The 21,129-nt window shown below is 34.2% G+C and overlaps 1 long non-coding RNA gene across 4 annotated transcripts in view; it reads right to left on the bottom strand.

Annotated features, from left to right (window-relative positions):
- The window catches only part of LOC101927213 (uncharacterized), a 63,269-nt gene extending 46,436 nt beyond the window's left edge, over positions 1–16,833 (bottom strand). For 2 of the 4 annotated variants that reach the window (XR_001739478.1, XR_001739479.1), the window contains exons 1-4: positions 16,695–16,833; positions 13,915–13,975; positions 13,229–13,268; positions 9,080–9,127 (exon numbers count right to left, since the gene is read on the bottom strand). This is a non-coding gene — a long non-coding RNA (uncharacterized LOC101927213). The other 2 variants (XR_001739480.1, XR_001739481.1) reach the window with 2 other exon arrangements.
- Between the last annotated feature and the right edge of the window lie 4,296 nt (positions 16,834–21,129).

Below are 21,129 nucleotides of genomic sequence, written 5' to 3'. Positions count from 1 at the left end.
GTTTTTGTCAGGTTTGTCAAAGATCAGATAGTTGTAGATATGTGGCATTATTTCTGAGGGCTCTGTTCTGTTCCATTGGTCTATATCTCTGATTTGGTACCAGTACCATGCTGTTTTGGTTACTGTAGCCTTGTAGTATAGTTTGAAGTCAGGTAGTGTGATGCCTCCAGCTTTGTTCTTTTGGCTTAGGATTGACATGGCAATGCAGTCTCTTTTTTGGTTCCATATGAACTTTAAAGTAGTTTTTTCCAATTCTGTGAAGAAAGTCATTGGTAGCTTCATGGGGATGGCATTGAATCTATGAATTACCTTGGGCAGTTTGGCCATTTTCACAATACCGATTCTTCCTACCCATGAGCATGGAATGCTCTTCCATTTGTTTGTATCCTCTTTTATTTCACTGAGCAGTGGTTTGTAGTTCTCCTTGAAGAGGTCCTTCACAACCCTTGTAACTTGGATTCCTAGGTATTTTATTCTCTTTGAAGCAGTTTTGAGTGGGAGTTCACTCATGATTTGGCTCTCTGTTTGTCTCTTATTGGTGTATAAGAATGCTTGTGATTTTTGTACATTGATTTTGTATCCTGAGACTTTGCTGAAGTTGCTTATCAGCTTAAGGAGATTTGGGGCTGAGATGATGGGGTTTTCTAAATATACAATCATGTCATCTGCAAACAGGGACAATTTGACTTCCTCTTTTCTTAATTGAATACCTTTTATTTCTTTCTCCTGCCTGATTGCCCTGGCCAGAACTTCCAACACTATGTTGAATAGGAGTGGTGAGAGAGGGCATCCCTGTCTTGTGCCAGTTTTCAAAGGGAATGCTTCCAGTTTTTGCCCATTCAGTATGATATTGGCTGTGGGTTTGTCATAAATAGCTCTTATTGTTTTGAGATACTTCCCATCAATACCTAATTTATTGAGAGTTTTTAGCATGAAGGGCTGTTGAATTTTGTCAAAGGCCTTTTCTAGGTCTAGTGAGATAATCATGTGGTTTTTGTCGTTGATTCTGTTTACATGCTGGATTACATTTATTGATTTGCATATGTTGAACCAGCCTTGCATCCTGGGGATGAAGCCCACTTGATCGTGGTGGATAAGCTGTCCGATATGCTGCTGGATTTGGTTTGCCAGTACTTTATTGAGGATTTTTGCATCGATGTTCATCAGGGATATTGGTCTAAAATCCTCTTTTTTTGTGTGTCTCTGCCAGGATTTGGTATCAGGACGATGCTGCCCTCATAAAATGAGTTAGGGAGGATTCCTTTTCTATTGATTGGAATAGTTTCAGAAGGAATGGTACCAGTTCCTCCTTGTACCTCTGGTAGAAATTGGCTGTGAATCCGTCTGGTCCAGGACTTTTTTTGATTGGTAAGCTATTAATTATTGCCTCAATTTCACCAAAAGCAATGGCAACAAAAGCCAAAATTGACAAATGGCATCTAATTAAACTAAAGAGCTTCTTCACAGCAAAAGAAACTACCATCAGAGTGAACAGGCAACCTACAGAATGGGAGAAAATTTTTGCAATCTACTCATCTGAAAAAGGGCTAATATCCAGAATATACAATGAACTCAAACAAATTTGCAAGAAAAAAGCAAACAACCCCATCAACAAGTGGGCAAAGGATATGAACAGACACTTCTCAAAAAAAGACATTTGTGCAGCTAAAAGACATATGAAAAAATGCTCATCATCACCGGCCATCAGAAAAATGCAAATCAAAACCACAATGAGATACTATCTCACACCAGTGGGAATGGTGATCATTTAAAAGTCAGGAAACAACAGGTGCTGGAGAGGATGTGGAGAAATAGGAACACTTTTACACTGCTGGTGGGACTGTAAAGTAGTTCCACCATTGTGGAAGTCAGTGTGGCGATTCCTCAGGGATCTAGAACTAGAAATACCATTTGACCCAGCCATCCCATTACTGGGTATATACGCAAAGGATTATAAATCATGCTGCTATAAAGACACATGCACATGTATGTTTATCGCAGCACTACTCACAACAGCAAAGACTTGGAACCAACCCAAATGTCCACCAATGATAGACTGGATTAAGAAAATGTGGCACATATACACCATGGAATACTATGCAGCCATAAAAAATGATGAGTTCATGTCCTTTGTAGGGACATGGATGAAGCTGGAAACCATCATTCTCAGCAAACTATTGCAAGGACAAAAAAACAAACATAGCATGTTTTCACTCATAGGTGGGAATTGAACAATGAGAACACATGGACACAGGAAGGGGAACATCACACACCAGGGCCTGTTATGGGGTAGGGGGATGGGGAAAGGATAGCATTAGGAGATATACCTAATGTGAAAAGACGAGTTAATGGGTGCAGCACACCAGCATGGCACATGTATATATATGTAACAAACCTTCACGTTGTGCACATGTACCCTAAAACTTAAAGTATAATATAAATAAATAAAAAAATAAATAAAAAGAAAACCCCATCATCTCAGCCCAGTATCTCCTTAAGCTGATAAGCAACTCCAGCAAAGCCTCAGGATACAAAATAAATGTGCAAAAATCACAAGCATTCCTATACACCAATAATAGAGAGCCAAATCATGAGTGAGCTCCCATTCACAATTACTACAAAGAGAGTAAAATACCTGGGAATCCAACTTACAAGCGATGTGAAGGACCACTTCACAGAGAACTACAAATCACTGCTCAATGAAATAAAAGAGGACACAAACATATAGAAGAACATTCCATTCTCATGGATAGGAAGAATCAGTATTGTGAAAATGGCCATATTGCTCAACCTAATTTGTATACTCAATGCTATCCCCATCAAGCTACCATTGACTTTCTTCACACAATTAGAAAAAACTACTTTAAACTTCATATGGAACCAAATAAGAGCCCACAAAGCCAAGACAATCCTAAGCAAAAAGAACAAAGGTGGAGGCATCATGCTACCTGACTTCAAACTATACTACAAGACTACAGTAACCAAAACAGCATGGTACTAGTACCAAAACAAATATATAGATCAATGGAACAGAAGAAAGACCTCAGAAATAACACCACACATCTACAGCCATCTGATCTTTGACAAACCTGACAAAAACAAGCAATGAACAAAGGATTCCCTATTTAAAAAATGGTGCTGGGAAAACTGGCTAGTCATATGTAGAAAGCTGAAACTGGATCTCTTCCTTACACCATATACAAAAATTAATTCAAGATGGATTAAAGACTTAAATGTAAGACCTAACACCATAAAAACCCTAGAAGAAAACCCAGGCAATACCAATCAGGACATAGGCATGGGCAAAGACTTCATGACTAAAACACGAAAAGCAATGGCAACAAAAGCCAACATAGACAAGTGGGAGCTAATTAAACCAAAGAGTTTCTGCACAGCAAAAGAAATTATCATAAGAGTGTACAGGCAACCTACAGAATGGGAGAAAATCTTTGCAATCCACCCATCTGACAAGAGCTAATATCCAGAATCTACAAATAACTTAAACGAATTTACAAGAAAAAAGCAACCCCATCAAAAAGTGGGCAAAGGATATGAACAGACACTTCTCATAAGAAGACACTTATGCAGCCAAAAGACATATGGAAAAATGCTTACCATCACTGCTCATTAGAGAAATGCAAATCAAAACCACAATGACATACCATCTCAGAGGAGTTAGAATGGCAATCATTAAAAAGTCAGGAACCAACAGGTGCTGGAAAGGATGTGGAGAAATGGGAACAGTTTTACACTGTTGGTGGGACTGTAAATTAGTTCAACCATTGTGGAAGACAGTGTGATGATTCCTCAAGGATCTAGAACTAGAAATACCATTTGACCAGCCATCCCATTACAGGGTATATACCCAAAGGATTATAAATCATGCTACTATAAAGACACATGCACATGTATGTTTATCGCGGCACTATTCACAATTGCAAAGACTTGGAACCAACCCAAATGTCCACCAATGATAGACTGGATTAAGAAAATGTGGCACATATACACCATGGAATACTATGCAGCTATAAAAAAGGATGAGTTCATGTCCTTTGCAGGGTCATGGATGAAGCTGGAAACCATCATTCTAAGCAAACTATCACAAGAACAGAAAACCAAACACCACATGTTCTCACTCATAGGTGGGAGTTGAACAACGAGAACACATGGACACGGGGCGGGGAACATCACACACTGGGCCTTTCAGGGGGTGGGGGAACTGGGAGAGGAATAGCTTTAGGAGAAATACCTAATGTAAATGACAAGTTGATGGGTGCAGCAAACCAACATGGCACATGTATACCTATGTAACAAACCTGCACGTTGTGTACATGTACCCTAGAACTTAAGGTATAATAATAAAAAAAAAATTCTCATTTTTATTAATTGGTAAACTATTAAAGAAGAAAATTGTATTATTTTTATAATAATTATATAGTTTTTTCCTTTTTCAAACAGTTTTATTGAAATATAACTCATATACTATAAAATCTATCCTATTAAAACTTACAGTTCATGCCTCTCTTTGGCAGCACATATACTAAAAAAGTTTACAATTCAATTTTTTACGATATTCGCTGATATGCTTTCACTATGATCCAACCCATATCTCATCTTGAAATATAGTTCCCATAATACCCACTTGTTGTGGGAGGGAACTGGTGAGAGGTAATTTAATCATGGGGGTGATTACACTAACGCTGTTCTCCTGATATCGAGTGAGTTCTCACGATATCTGATGGTTTTATAAGGAGCTTTTCCCCCTTTTGCTTGGCACTTCTTGCTGTCACCATGTGACGAAGGATGTGTTTGTTTCCCCTACCTCCATGATTATAAGTTTCCTGAGGCCTCCCCAGCCATGCTGAAATGTGAGTTAATTAAATCTCTTTCCTTTATAAATTATCCAGTCTCAGGTATGTCTTTATTAGCAGTGTGAGAACAAATGAATACATTCACGAAGCCATGTGACAACCACAGTTATCTAATTTTAGAATATTTTCACCACCCCCCCACCACAAAAAAATATACACTTTAGTGTTATACCCCACTTCCCTCTCTTCCTAGCCCTAGGCAACTACTAATCTACTTTGTCTCTGTTGACTTGCCTATTCCAACAATTTTATATAAACACAACTATATGATGTGTAGTCGTATAATTTTTTATTTCTTTTTCACTTAGCATGCTCTCAAATTTCATCCATGTTATAACATATGTCAATACTTGATTCACTTTTATTGCCAACAATATTTCACATATAATAATTTACTTTTATTGCCAAACAATATTTCATTATATGTGAAATATTGTTTGGCAATAAAACAATACCACATTTTGTTTATCCATTATTCAGTTAATGGATATTTGGATTGTTTTCTCTTTTGGCTATTATGGATAAAGCTAATATGAACATTATATTCAAAATTTTTCATGATGTTTTAAACTTACTATTGGTCATATATCTAGGAGTGGAATAACCCAATTTTAGAATGGGCAAGAAATTTGAATACATTATATACAAATGTCAAAAAAGCACATGAAAAGATGCTCAACATCTTTAGTCATGATGGCAATGTAAATCAAAATCACAATGAGATACCTCCTTATATACACTGTATACCACCATAAGGGGGAGAGACCTAATGTTTAAATTGTTACTGATGTTACTATATTGTTACAGAATTATTTTTTCTAAGAATGTTCATAGTAGCAAGTTTCTATCCCTTGAAGTTATACTGAACATATATTATAAGAAGACAATATTCTATTGAGCAATACTGGCTTTATTATAGCAAAAATATTTTAACATATAATTTCACTTTTTTGACTTTACAAAATTAATTTACTTGAAAACAAAACAAAAACTACACAGAACAATTTAACAAACCCCATGTGCCCACTCCTCAGAATTGAAACATTAAGATTAAATTATATTTTTAAAAAACTTTATTGGTGGATGTACAAACAATGCTAAAGGTATTTTCTTTCTATAAATCTCAAAATGTATACCTTTAGAGACAGAAAGGAATCCAATTCTAGTTGAACACTTGGGTCATACAACTAACCTGTGTCCAATTGCACTTGTGATGTGCATGTGAATCTCCAAATGTCATAATATATCAAGGACCATTAAAATAACCCTTAAAACTGATACACAAAACTTTTGGCTGTGAAGAAAATATTATTTTAGCCTTCTGTATCCCTGACTTTAAAACACATAATAATATTCAGAAAAGATAACCCTGAAGTTCATGTAGAAAGGTCATGTGCAAGAAAACCAATATCAATAGATTAGGAATTAGTAATTCTTTATTATGCCTATTCTATCTGGGAGACCTTTTGTAAGTCAATTAACCTATCTTAATTTCAGTATCCTCATAAGTAAAATGAAAACTTTGTGTTGAATTACCCATAAAATCACTATCTGTTCTAAAAAATATGATTCTACCTGTTCTTTTATTTCAGAGTATTCAAAGAATTCTAAAATACATGCCTCAAATTTTTTTAAAAAATATTATCTTTTTAAGGAGTATTGTCCATAAGCTTTATTTTAAAAAACTTACCAAGTTTCTACTTTGGATGGCTTTTTTGGGAAATAGTTGGAGGAATGAGAAGCAGAACAAATCTGAGCAATGCAAATGTATGTCATGCATCAGTACAATTGGTTTTTATTACTATTCTATCCTTTATTATTTTATTTCACAAAAAAAGCCTGAAAATTCAGCCAGTGTTAGAAGCATTCCAATTTATTTGATTGGACAATAAATGATTCTATGGCTGATATTTTAAAGACCAGCACAAATATCACAAGCTACAACCAGCTCACTCCTGATAAGCAGAATAACATTTTCTTAATTTGTGCAAGCCACTGAAAAAACTGAAAGATGCCAATTTAGAAATCATTTCAATCTTGTAGCTGCAGAGTATATTAAAATATATGGAACTTGGAATCAAATAAGAGCATTTGTGAATAATAAAGGTTTGGAATATCCTAAGGTAGGAAACACCTTATTAAAATAAGGATTCCTCTCTACAAATTTAAGCAATGAAAAAAAACAAAAAATATAAAACAAAGTGATAATAGATTGGATTGTTTTAAGCCAAAGCTTAACAATTAACCCTGTGTCTCAAAGCAAAGCATTTTGTAAAGGCTAGCCACCAGTAATGTATTATGTCAAGTCCTAGAAAAGCATTAAACTAATTCAAATCCTTGGCATTTGGCCTTCTTAATTAAACATTTCATTTATTCATATCCCAATTAAGTAGCTTTAACCACCTCTCTGGGTATTATTCATCCTTTAATAATGATACAAGAAGAGCAGAGCAAGGAAGATTCTTATTCATAGTAATAAATATACACACATGTGACGTCTTTCATTAATGAATGCCAGTAGTAATGTTCATCACTGATGTAGGGTACACAGTTAATGCTGATCTATGTTAAGTTTCATTTTGGTCAAGGATTTACATAAAGTTCCAGGAGTGCCTTCTCTTTCAGAGAAGAAACTGTTTTTCATTCACGGCAGTATTTTCAGCCTCCAGCATGGAAAAGTGGTTCACATATTGACATTGCTGTCAGAGTCAGAACACAGAAGGTGAGTCCCGTGACAGAATACTTCTGTTAATAAAGGTCCCTACATCATGAGTTTTTTAGTATAACCCCAAATATATTTATATGCATGAAAGCCTAATCCAAATATTAGTGAGGTTGCAGAATTAAAGTTCATTCACCATTTTTCCCTTTAGTGGCCCATGTAAGCCTATCTTTAGAACAGTTATTCTCAACCAGAAGCAATTTTGCCCTCCCAGGGGACATTTGGCAATATTTGGAGACATTTTGGGTTTGAGTTGTCACAACTGTGTGGGTGGATACTACTGGCATCTATTTGATTGAGGCAAGCACAAGACAGGCCCAGAAACAAAGAATTACCCAGCCCAAAATCAATAGCACCAAGGTTGAGAAATCTTGCTCTGGAAGAATAAACTGTATATAAGTATGTAAAAGGAAAGCAGAAGGGCCTGGCAGGTGTGAGATTATCTGTCACTTTATAAGTGAGATGGGGAGGGGCTCAAGAGGTTATTTTTTGTCAGGCTGTACTTTTTCTAGGACATGAACTCACCATTTTTTATGGCTGCATAGTATTCCATGGTAGATATGTGCCACATTTTCTTAATCCAGTCTATCATTGTTGGACATTTGGGTTGGTTCCAAGTCTTTGCTATTGTGAATAGTGCTGCAATAAACATACGTGTGCATGTGTCTTCATAGCAGCATGATTTATAATCCTTTGGGTATATAGCCAGTAATGGGATGGCTGGGTCAAATGGTATTTCTAGTTCTAGATCCCTGAGGAATCGCCACACTGTCTTCCACAATGGTTGAACTAGTTTACAGTCCCACCAACAGTGTAAAAGTGTTCCTATTTCTCCACATCCTCTCCAGCACCTGTTGTTTCCTGACTTTTTAATGATAGCCATTCTAACTGGTGTGAGATGGTATCTCATTGTGGTTTTGATTTGCATTTCTCTAATGGACAGTGATGATGAGCATTTTTTCATGTGTCTTTTGGCTGCATAAATGTCTTCTTTTGAGAAGTGTCTGTTCATGTCCTTTGCCCACTTTTTGATGGGGTTGTTTGTTTTTTTCTTGTAAATTTGGGACATAGGCATCGGCAAGGACTTCATGTCTAAAACACCAAAAGCAATGGCAACAAAAGCCAAAATTCACAAATGGGATCTAATTAAACTAAAGAGCTTCTGCACAGCAAAAGAAACTACCATCAGAGTGAAGAGGCCACCTACAGAATGGGAGAAAATTTTTGCAATTTACTCATCTGACAAAAGGCTAATGTCCAGAATCTACAATGAACTCAAACAACATCTTTTTTCTAACAGATGATTCTCGCTGCAAGCCTTGTTTCAATCCAATCAGCATTTCCACAGCTCAAAGCCCACGCTGTTACAGGAAGAATCAAGTAATGGATCTTTCCTAGACCACTTCATGCAGGCCAGTTCATTATATTAATAATTTGTATAGACCATTTGTAAGAGCCTTCATGTTTTATAAACAGAAAATTTTACCTTGGGATCTTCAGAAGGAGCCAAGCTACAAACACCTTCTGATGAACTCTGTAACAACAGAATGCACTTAAAAGGATATACAACACATCAAGGAATGTTTCAAGAAATATAAACTATGAATATTAAAATTCAGAGAAATAGGGCCTCACCTTTCCCCCACCATCAGCCTGAGCCTTTCCACATGTGTTTTCTGGCAATAGAAGTCACTTATTTCATTATTCCCTCAGAGACTCATGGCAGAAACATGATGTATCAGCCTTTTCCTAAACGTTTACTTTCAGTTTCTACAGGTATCCATACAACTTTCAAAATGTTCTTCAGATTCACTATTTTCATTCGTATGCTACTGTAGTAAGGCTCAGTGGCATCTCACACCCCATATTATCCCGAGGGATTATCCAGACAGCAGCAACTGTAACTGTTTAGAAAACTAAATGTTTAAAATATTTAGCAAAGTAGACAGAATAACATAAAACTTACAGATCTGTTATCTATTCTGACATATGTGCATCAGATAGGTAGATAAGTCGATGTAGGGAAGGAGGGAAAGATAATAGATCCTTGTGAAACATTTCAGGGATACAAAATCTCAAATAATTTAATAAAATTCCAAGTAACACACTCTCAGCTTAAATAAAATGTTTCAGATAATTGAAGTTTCTAAGCATTTCTCCCCAGTCCTCTTCCTTTATTTTTCCCCTGAGTGAACATTGTCTTGAAGCCGGTATTCATCATTCTCATGCATGTTTTCAATCTATGATTACTCATGTATATATACAGAAACATTATACAGAAGGGTTCTTCCTGTTTTCAAACTTTACTTAAATAGTGTAATTTGCCCATCATTAGGACACTTGATTTTTATGCTCAGTATTCTGTTTTTGAGGTGTCATAACATAGTTCTCGTTCATTCATCTGAACCATTTATAGTATTCTGTGAAGTCATAACATTTATCTGTTCTTTTTAATGGACATTTAGGTATTTTTAGTCTTCACTATGACAAGCAGCATTGCCATGAACACCTTACTTGCTATCCTGTGCTATAAGAACTTTCTCTAGGATGTATAAATAGTGTGAGGGTTAAGGCCATAACACACATTGCTGTACTGTGCTAAATTCTACTGCAATCTCCTCAGTGAACACTCCTACTAGCATAAATGAGAATTTTCATTGCTCCACATCCTTATCAACTAATTGAATTGTAAAACTAGATTTTAATTTTTCAAATTCCATGGTTTTGAAAGGAATTTCAGTTTTTTATTTGCATTTCCCCAAAGAATCAGTGAGATTGAGAATATTCATATGCGTAGATTGAGTTTCTCTTTCTGGTCCCTCTTCCTCTCCTTTGCTCACTTATCTGTTGTATTATTACTTATATCCTCCCTCATTTGTAGGTATCCTTCCTTAACTCTAGATCCTAATTCTTTGTCAGATATATTTTAGATACTTTAAGACATTTCAGATATTTTTCTCTCAACCTATAGCATGTATTCTATTTTTGGTAATGATGTCTCTTGAAGACCAGAAATTTAATTTTAATAGAGTTAATTTAACCATCTTTTTTCTTTAGTATTTATTCTGTTTTGTAACTTAATAAATCATTCCTTAGCCCAAGATTATGAAAATATTTTCTCATAATTTCTATTAAAAAGGTCAAAGGTCTGCCTTTCCATTTTTACCTTTTCAGCCACCTAATTGTTTATTCTGGATGAAATGGAATTCCAGTTGTTTTTCATATGGATAACTAATTTTCCCAGAACTATTTATATATTTGTTCATTCTTTCCCAACAGTTTTAATGAAAAGTCTGAAATATATTGTTTCTACATAGATGTTTAGACTTCCTTAAAATTCCCCAATTTTTCTATTTGCCCAACTTCAAGCAATTTCTATATTATATGCTCATAATTAATAAGTTGTTAAACAAGTGTGATAAAGTCCCTCTATCTCTTCTTTCTCAAAATTGTCTCAGCTATTCTTGGCCTTTTGTACCATCATATGAGTTTCATGAGGAGTTATCAAGACCCTGAATAAATCCCTTTAGGTCTTGAATAGAGGTTGCATTGAAAATATATATTTATTTGAGGTAAATTGGTGCTTCTTTAAGAGTTTTTAATTCCTAAACTTTGTGTATTTCTCCTTTTATTCAAGTCTTATGTACTTCAGGAATATTTCAAAAATATCCCCTTAAAAGTATTAAGACATTTTAGAGCTATTCATGAGTACTTTACCACTATTATGTAATATTATTATATTTATCAATTTCATTTTAGTGGATAGTAGTTATGTAATTTTTTTAGTTTACCTAAAATCTAGTAAAATTTCAAAATTCTCTGAGTAGTTCTATTAATTTATTTATATATATATACCTTTCAGTTTTCTATAAAAGCAATCATATTGTGGAAAATTAAAGACTTTTTTTCCTTTTCCTTCATAATTTGTATAACTTTATTTCTCTATCTTACTAGACAAACTAGCACTTGTAGTATTACATTGAATAGAAAAAGTTATAAATGGCATCATTTTCATTCCTAAGTGGTAAACTTCTAACCTATTATCAATAAGTATGATAGTTGGGAGAATTTGAATAGACACCCTTTCTTAGATTAAGGAAATTTCATTCTGTATCAATTAGAAATGCTTTTGACCAAAAGTAAGAATATCTAACGTTTACATTTGCAATAAAAATACTTAGTTATGATATACAGAAATAATTTGAAAATTGGTGGTTCCAGGGGCAGGAGCTTCCCTGGATCAAGATGTCTGACATTCCTTTATGGCATATTCCAAGCATCATATCCACATACAATTATGGTCATAGGGAGGAAACAGACTGTAGCCACGGCACATAAAAATGAATCACCCATCTCTTCTTTTATTACGGAGGAAAGTCATTTCCTTGCCATCAGAATTATCCTTATACCTCATTGGCCTGGCCTGAGCCATCTGCCCATTGTTAACACAACAGAAGCTGGAAAAGTGAGTAGTTGGCTTTTCCAGTCTTTTTTGTCCATATCCCCCATTTGATTCACCAAGATTTTACAGTCTCAATAGTGAGAAGTGGGTAGGAAAAAGGGGTTTAGGAATGAGTATGAGGTAGACATAGAAAACAACAGAAGTAGCATATTTTGTTTGCTATGCTATCTGCTAAGAGCTTTCATTTTTAGTATATAAAACAGTGTTGAATCATATTTACTTTTGCTGCTTCTACTGAGATAATCATGTAAATTTCTTTATTAATCTATTAATCATATATTATTATAACAGCATTTCTAATATTGAAGCATTCTTGCTTTTGTAAGATTAATTATGCATGGTCAGAATGTATTTTTTAATGTACTGCTTAGTTAAATGTATTAGTATTTGGGGGAGATTTTCTGCATCCAAATCATAAGTAAAATTCATCTCTCATTTTCTTTCTTAGACTTTTATTGCCTCGTTTTGGTGTCAATATTATACTGGATTCATTAGAATGAATTTGGACATTTTCCCTCTTCTATTCTCTAGAGGATAATTCACAAACATTCTTGATTTGGTAGGATAATTTGGCATTATATGCCTTCCTGTGTTCTAGAATTGAGGCAGGAAGGCAGCCAAGGGAGCCTCAAGACAGCCCTTGGCTCCAAGCAGTCAGCCTGGCTGTGGTTCCCTATGAATTCACCACAAGTAGTCCCTATTACCCTACAGGAGCCAGTTCCTGGCCCCCACTGACAGTGCCCTGCTTCATACTAGCAAACTCATGGCTTCAGCCTCATTCACTGATTTGTCTCTCTGTTCTGTTTTTGGTCTTCAGAAATATTTAGCTTGCTTTGGAGCCCAACTATTTTTGGTTTGTTGCTACTATTTTTAATGATATATTTCATAAATCATTAGTTATTTGTTTAGAATTCGAGGACTGAATATAAACTCATGTGCAATCTTGATCAGAAGCCTAAAAATACTCTGAAAATATGGTCTTGAACAGAATCCCAAAAACACTCTTTGTGAGTGTGGTCTAGCATGGCCTTCAAGATTGAGCTTTTGCCTGACTCTACATCCTGGACTCCTACTTCTTTCCATCTTATTCCTTACAGTTCATTCAAATGGGCCTACATTTGGTTCCTAAACTGAAACTCTTCCCAGCCTGAGGATTTTTGAATGTTTTCTTACCTTGCTGATAGCCATATCCCTAGCAGGTGAAGAAGCCAACCTGCAGAGAAAATCAGAGTGAAATGTTGAGGAAATTCTGATGGCATCTAAACCCAGACTCCACCCATTCTTGTGCCATCTCCAACACTGCTCTTCTTGAGATTTGGCTGTATGACTCAAACATTCCTGGTTTGCCTAAGGTGTTTCAATTTCGATCTCTATTACTTGCAAACAGAATCCTAATGAATACATATTTTTATAATAGTAATATACATTAGTCTACTTTGTCTCAATTGAAGCTATAACATATTATCTGAATTAGAAGGAGCATTTCTAAGAATTAGGACTTACTCTCCCTTTTCTAATGACAGGGCTGGAAAACTGGCTGTGATAGCAGACAAACTACAGGAGAAGGGGCCACTAGGAAATCTCCTCTCAACAGCTCTACCTGATGTGACACATGGCTACACTCTCTCAATAATTATTAAGATTACTGATATGGGTAATAAATGTACTTATGTCTATGGTTCAGTTTGTAGGTTTTAAAACATCTTTCATACTTATTCCCCAAAGATACTCACAATAATCATTTAAAGAGTTAAAAACAGACTAGCAAACCAAGACAAAAGGGTCTGCCTTGAAACCTATTTTTCCCCACCATCCATCCATCCATTCTTTTCCACAAAAGAATGCTTCTGATTACTTACCCTCATAGAGATTCAAAACACTGACTGCTCTTCAGGACAATAGATGGAGGTATGTCATTTCCTGTACAATTCAAATAGCAATAGCTTATTTTTAAAGCAAGCACACTTCTGTTTTCTTTGGTTGTCTAGACTTCTTATGTATTTTGGTATCTCCAAACTCTGATACATGTAAATTTTAAATGGTAATATGACTTTTGTTTTCCCCCAAAGATGGAAATAAAGGCTTAAACAAATATAACCCAAGAGATACTTGAAATTTAGATAAAAACCAGCTTTTAAACCTTTCAGAGAGACTAACCCCATGGTTGCACTTATTCCACAGGCAATTAATTTGGCTAAAACAAATATTCTTTGATGACCATCAAGAATAAAGCAGAGCAATTTTAATATGATAGAATTATTATTGACTGGGGAATATCATGCAAAATTGGTATAACCAAGAAAAGATCAAAAAGGCTCTCTGATTATAAAACATCAAAGGTTTCAGGCAACTTCTTCCTGAGAGACAAGCTTAAAATATTGGAGAATCCATTTATACCGTTACATTAAGGAATTATTTTAATGAGGGTCCTCCTGAGATGATAGACTGGGGTAACATTTCAGAATTGCATTGCATTCATTCCATAAACTGCTTAATTAGAGAAATGGTTCCTTCACTAAGCATCTGTCACTGAAGCATGTACACACAATTTTTAAATGTGTGGTGTTGGGGAAAGCATAATTTGGAAGTAATTCCAGTTTGGGCATTTACTAGCCATTTGACCGCAGTTTATTCTCAATATCTCTGAACATTTAAAATATACTTTTTAAAAGAACAGCATAAACAGAGATCATACAAGTTTATAACTACATGATAAGTATATAAGTTCTATTTTCAATTAGTAAGAGATAAAAAGAAACCAAAGCATGGAATATGATGTAGATTATATGTTTCTGTTTCATTTTATAAGAAACAAATACACTATGTCAAGAAATTAGTGTTTTAGTTTGACTCCTCATTAGTAGATATTCAATATTATTTCTTAAAAATCCTAAAGGGGGGCGATGTTAACAGAAACAGCAAAGTAAGGAATGCCAAAAGTTTATCCCTCCATAAAACCAATAAACACTGGTGATATATGTTATAGTCAACATTTTTGAAATTCTGGAAATTAACCAGAAGCTTGTGCAACTAAGGGAATTCTTAAGAAAAAGCTGATGGACTCTTGGTAAAGAAAGAGCTTTGTGGTGTTTTAAACTACTCTGTTCCCATTATTCAACATCTGACTCAAATATAAACTTAATGACAAAAGCTCACTTTCCAAGTATTGTACAAATAGCAGTGTCAGAGGGAAGGGAACAGATCTCATTCACAAAGAACATGATTGTTCAGTTGACCTGTCTGGTGGATCCTCGAATAAAAGGGCTTGCCATTATCTTACCTAACTTAGAATTTTTGCATTGCTTAGGTGAATATCTGAGGAAGGATTTTTGTCAAATTACATAACAAATGTATTATTCGTGGCTGCCTCCTGGCAATCAATAACAGTTGGGACAAACAATAAATTAATTTAAAAACTTGGGAAGAAAGGCTGAAGGAGGTACTTTGAGGAACAAGGGTTTTGAAGAGCTCCAACATCTTATTGAAAACCTAGAAAGCCATATTCATGACCACGACTGTCTGCATACTCAGGAAGGACATGAGAAGGCCCTAAATTCTCACTTCTGGCTAATCTTAAGGCTCTACACAAGGAATAATGAAAGATAAGACAGTTGTAAACTCCTTTGCTTAGTGTTGAAGGCATTCCCAAAACACACACAGAGAGCCCATGAGAGATTTTGTTTTAGCTCCAGCCACCTAAGAAAATATTTGTCCAATCACCAGCTGGTCATAGCATAATAGCACAGAAAATTAAGTGGCCAAACATGACAAAGTCGTTTCATTATATGCAGAAAAAGTGTCAATATTGTAACATTTTTATGATAAAAACACTCAACAAACTAGGAAAAGAGAACTTCCCTAGTTTGATAAAGGGCCTCTATGAAAAACGTATAGCTAGCATCATACTTAATTGTGGAAAGACTGAAAGTTATCTCCCTAAGTTCAGGAATAAAACAAGGATGCCACTTTCCACAATTCAATTCAACATCGTACTGTAAGTTCTAGTCAAGGTAATTAGGCAAGAAAAAGAAAACACATCTAGATTGAAAAGGAAGAAGTATAACTACATTCACAGATAACATAATTTTATATAATAAAAAACTGAAATATTCACAAAATAATTATTAGAGGTGGGTAATAAGTTCAGCAAGATTCCAGAACATAAGATTAACACAAAAATCAGTTGAATTTCTACAAATTTAGTACTGAACAATCCTAAAATGCAATCAAGAAAATAATTTTATTTACTAAAACATCAAAAGGAATAAAATGCTTAAATGAATTTAACCAAGGAAGTACCAGATGTGTACACTGAAAACTTGAAAATATTGTTGAAAAAATTTAATGAAGTGCTAAATAAATGGAAAGATATTCCATGTCTATAAATTGAAAGACTTAACATTGTTAAGATGTCAATAATCCCCAAATTGATCCACAGGTTCAATGTAACCTCTATTAATTTTCCAACTTCCTTTTTCTTTTGCAAATTTGGATAAGCTAGTCCTAAAATTCATATGGATTTGCAAGGGACACAGAGTAGCCAAAATAATCTTGAAAAAGAACAAACTTGGAGGAGTCACATTTTCTAATTTCAACACTTACTACAAGCTACTCTTATAAATCAACAAAAAAAGACCACCTGATTTAAAACTGAGAAGCAGTCTTGAATAAACATTTCTCTGAAGAATATGGATGGCCATTCACAAAGTGTTGAGAGTGACGCAGATAAAATGGAACCCTCATGCATTGCTGGTAGAAATGCAAAATGGTGCAGCTGCTGTGGAAAAAAAAAATGGCAGTTCTTTAAAAAGCTAAATACTCAAGCCTGTAGCCCAGCACTTTGGGAGGCCAAGGAAGGTGGTTCATGAGGTCAGGAGTTCGAGACCAGCCGAGTCAACATTGTGAAACCCCGTCTCTACTAAATGCAAAAAATTAGCCGGGCGTGGTGGCAGGCACCTGTAATCCCAGCTAAGGTTAACGTATTATCCAGCAATTCTAGGTAAGTAACTGAGAGAAATGAAAATACACATCTAAGAAAAACCTGTATGTGAGTAAATATAGCAGCATTATTCATAATAACCAAAACATGAAAACAACCCAAATGTCTATCAGCCAATGAATGAATAAACAAGATGCGGTTTATCCATACAGTGAAACACTATCAGCTGTAGAAAGGATTGAAGATCTGGTACACGCTACAACCCGAGTGAAACTTGAGGATATTATGCTAAGTGAAAGAAGCCAAACATATAATATTACACATATTATTTATTTAAAATATTCAGAATAAACAAATCCATTGAAACAGAAAGTAGATTAGTGCTTGCCATGAGCTTAGCAGGAAGGAAGAATGGGAGTGACTGCTAATAAATATATGGCTTCTTTTTGGGATAATGAAAATATACTAAAATTAGTGGCGATAATTATACAAACTTGTTAATATACTAAAAACACTGAGTTGTATGCTTTAAATTTTTAAAATTTTGAACTTTATGTTATATGATTGTTATCTCAGTTTTAACAACCCTAATATTCATTGTTTGAAAACATTAAACCTAAATGAAATGTAAATAATTAAGTTTAATATTAATGAGAGAGAAGTACCTTAGTTCTGAAACATTTTTTATAATATGTTTAGAAAGATAGCATTTTGGATTAGAGGTTTTACAAAATACTACTTTTATATACATTTTGAAGATGTTTTTACAGAAACTTATTATATAAGCCAATTATTATATTGTATATTTATTTTTGCCCTATCTTATTCTAAGGAGGATTTTTAAAAATTAGGAGTAGTGGGAATTACTATTCCACTAGATTATTAGATTCAGCTATTCATCAACAATTTGTTGTTAAATAAAAGTTTAAATTATAGCTCATGCTTACTGTTATAGAAACTAGTCTAAGAATTTTAGCTTCATTATAACTGATGCAGTAATAGTATATTTGGCAACATCATGTTAGATGGCTTCAGTATTTCTGTTACAAAACTATTACATCAAGAAGTCACAAACTTTCTAGAAGAGGACACTATATAATGGGAATTAATCTGAAGCAATAAGTATTTATTCATTCTAACCTTTCCTTTAAGAAATCTATGGCATGTTTAGACCAAACTGTCAATGCCCTCCTTATGACAATTATGTTTTTTACCCTTCTCTGAGTAGAAAACTGTTTATTTCCTTATCTTACTTAATTAAGGGTAATCATTCATGTAAGTTGAAATTTCCTGCTAAGAATAATGCCCAAGAACATCTCTTCAAAATGCCATTTACCCAAGGTCATTACAGTTCATTTTATAGGCACTGGACATCTTGATTCTTAGACATCTCCCTAGAATATGATCTCTATCTTTCAAAAACAACATAAGAGCAATTTAATACAACTCTTGCCGGATTCCTCTTTCTTAATAGTGAAGCTTATCCAAAGTCCCTCTTGACCTGTTTCAAATACTTTATACACCCAAACAAAAGCTAAAACAGTTGTTACTGTACATGCACTTATCATTTGTAAAAGATATTGTGGCTTCTCTTTGATTAGAATTTTTGCTCATTGCCTGGTTCCCCAAACACATCAGGTGACTGTTGCTAGGCAACCAAGCAATACCATACAGAGAATTCTCCCATCCATCTCAACAGATGCCATCTCATTTAGATACAAAGGGGTTCAAAGTTTCAAAATTTGTTTTTGTCACTCAATAAGTCAATATTATTTGGTGGTGCATTTCTGATGAGTAAATCATAGACAGACCACATTGAAAATACTCATATTGAGAAATTTTATCATCAACATTCCACAATTGTATGGTACACACTAATAAAAATTTTTGAAAACATGTAATAAAATGTGTTAAATTTCAAATACTGCTTTATTCAATCCTGACACAAAAGTTAATACCATGTAAGTTGTTGTTTTGCTTGTTTAGAAAGGTTTTATTTTAGAATCAATTAATAAATTGAGAAAAACAATAAACAGTTTGTTTTGTAAGACTTAATACAGTGAAACAAAAGCATTTTTCAAATATTGTTATCAGCTTTGGAGACCTCAAGATGCCTATATCACACTTTAATAAAAATGTAATGTTTCCCAACTGCTTCTAAATTTATCAGATTCAGCTGTTACCTTCGATTTAATTCTATTCTTTATGTAATCTAGGGCTAGCTTCTGTGCACAGTTAATTAACGGTTCTAAAGAGTTTTGTTTTTTTTTTGGTATATCAGGTCTCATTATAGACATCAACTGATCTTCAGATCAAAGAAAATTCCATACAAAGTTTCTTTGTATGGTAACCCTTTAGTAAGTTATTTATAGCAATCCATTACAAAAATTGTTAAGGTATCTTAATGTATGGCACAATCTTCTACCACATCAAATAAGCAACCTTAAAATATTGTAATAAATGATGGCAACTGACTGAAAGATAGCAACCTCAAATATTTAATTTGTCCTCTTCTGACTTTGAGATTTTGTTCCAAATCTGTAAGGAATGTGTGCTTTAAAGCAGTTGGTTGTACCTAACATAGCTTTCGACCCCCCTAGAAGTTACTCATGTAGGTGAGTGAGGCTAGAGTTTTGTCCAAAAGAAGGGATTGTCAGCAGTGCCCCACTATGAAAAGCTAACTATTAATCTAAAAATAAATAAATAAACCAGCTCTGGAAAACTCACTCAGGAGTCAAACAAGAGAAAAGCTGCTTATGAAAAGGAAAATAGAAATGACTTTCTGATGGAACAAAGATTAAGCTCATAATTAAATATTTATTATAAAAATGACTAAAATGACTAACACTTGTGTAATAAGGGTAATTTTTAATGCTCTTTGACATAATTCTTTTTCACTTAATCATCAAAAGAGGCATGCTATACAGGTATGTTTCTCTATTTTATGAAATAATAAATTAATGTTCAGAGAACTAAAGACAACAGGATTAAAAAGGACCATGGTCATGTGACTCACGATTTAGTGGTTTGGCATCTACACTTGTATCCTAACAGGTGAAGACTTCTGCTTTAGAAATTCCTATGACTGAGTTCTTTCTTTTTTATTTAAAAACTCAGAAACAGTGTGTCATTTTTTGAATGTTTAATATGACCTGGGTGCTAGAGAAATTAAGTTGCATATTACCACAGATTTGGGAGTCAATCAGGCAATCATCACCATATCAAAAATGTACTAAGATATTTTGGAAAGTAACAAATTGGTCACATCACAGCTTCTTATTTCTCTGTAAATAGATTTGCAAAGAGAAAATCAAGCCAGAAATATTCAAAATTAACTCTGTCAGTCAAGCAGTTTCATAAAATCATAAAACTGAATGTGCACTTTCTGCTTTTGGAATGTGTGCCTCCCCTATTTAAATATTGCTGTAAACAAGTCACTTTATGAGGCTGAGACTTAATTCTCTTCTGCCTTATTCCTCTCTCTATATATATATTACAGTCATTATGATCTTTATATAAAACCATCCAAATTCAGTTTCCTCTGGAAAGATCTACCTTGAATCATAAATATTTACAGAACATAAATATTCATGAAATTAATATGTATGGATTTAAAGGTTACCTATATTTTAAAATTGCTAATTCTTCGGGAAAGTTAGGGTCAAAATTATCCCCACTGAGGTTATTCTTTCAGTAAATAATCCCCAAAAGGACTCCCAAACAAAATTTTCTTTTTTATTTTTCTATACAAATCCTGATGTAAGCTCCAACTAAAGTAGTGATAATCTACATTGAAATGGGGAGGGAAAATATGTAACTGATTTTCTAAAAAACATCTTCTTACAATCAAGGAAAATCATCATTACATGACTTCACTTTTATATAGTCATGTGGTCCCATCATAAATCTCCAGAGTTCTATTCACTCAGACTAAATGCAGCTACTTCTGAATTTTGCAAACTTCTAAGGTACTATGAAAAAAAGATTTAAAGTAAGGGGAAATTGAATAAGTATTATAAGAACAGATATGAAGAGCTGTCCTTTAATATGTTATGGCCAGAAATTTATTATACCACATGGTTATTAGATTGGAACACATTTGAAAGATATTTAGAATATTTTTAGTCCAAACCAC

This window comes from Homo sapiens, chromosome 2 (assembly GCF_000001405.40).
Source record: "Homo sapiens chromosome 2, GRCh38.p14 Primary Assembly".
In the NCBI taxonomy this organism is placed as follows: Eukaryota; Metazoa; Chordata; class Mammalia; order Primates; family Hominidae; genus Homo; species Homo sapiens.
Note: the sequence above shows the minus strand (reverse complement) of the source record. Positions and strands in the feature narration are given on the sequence as shown.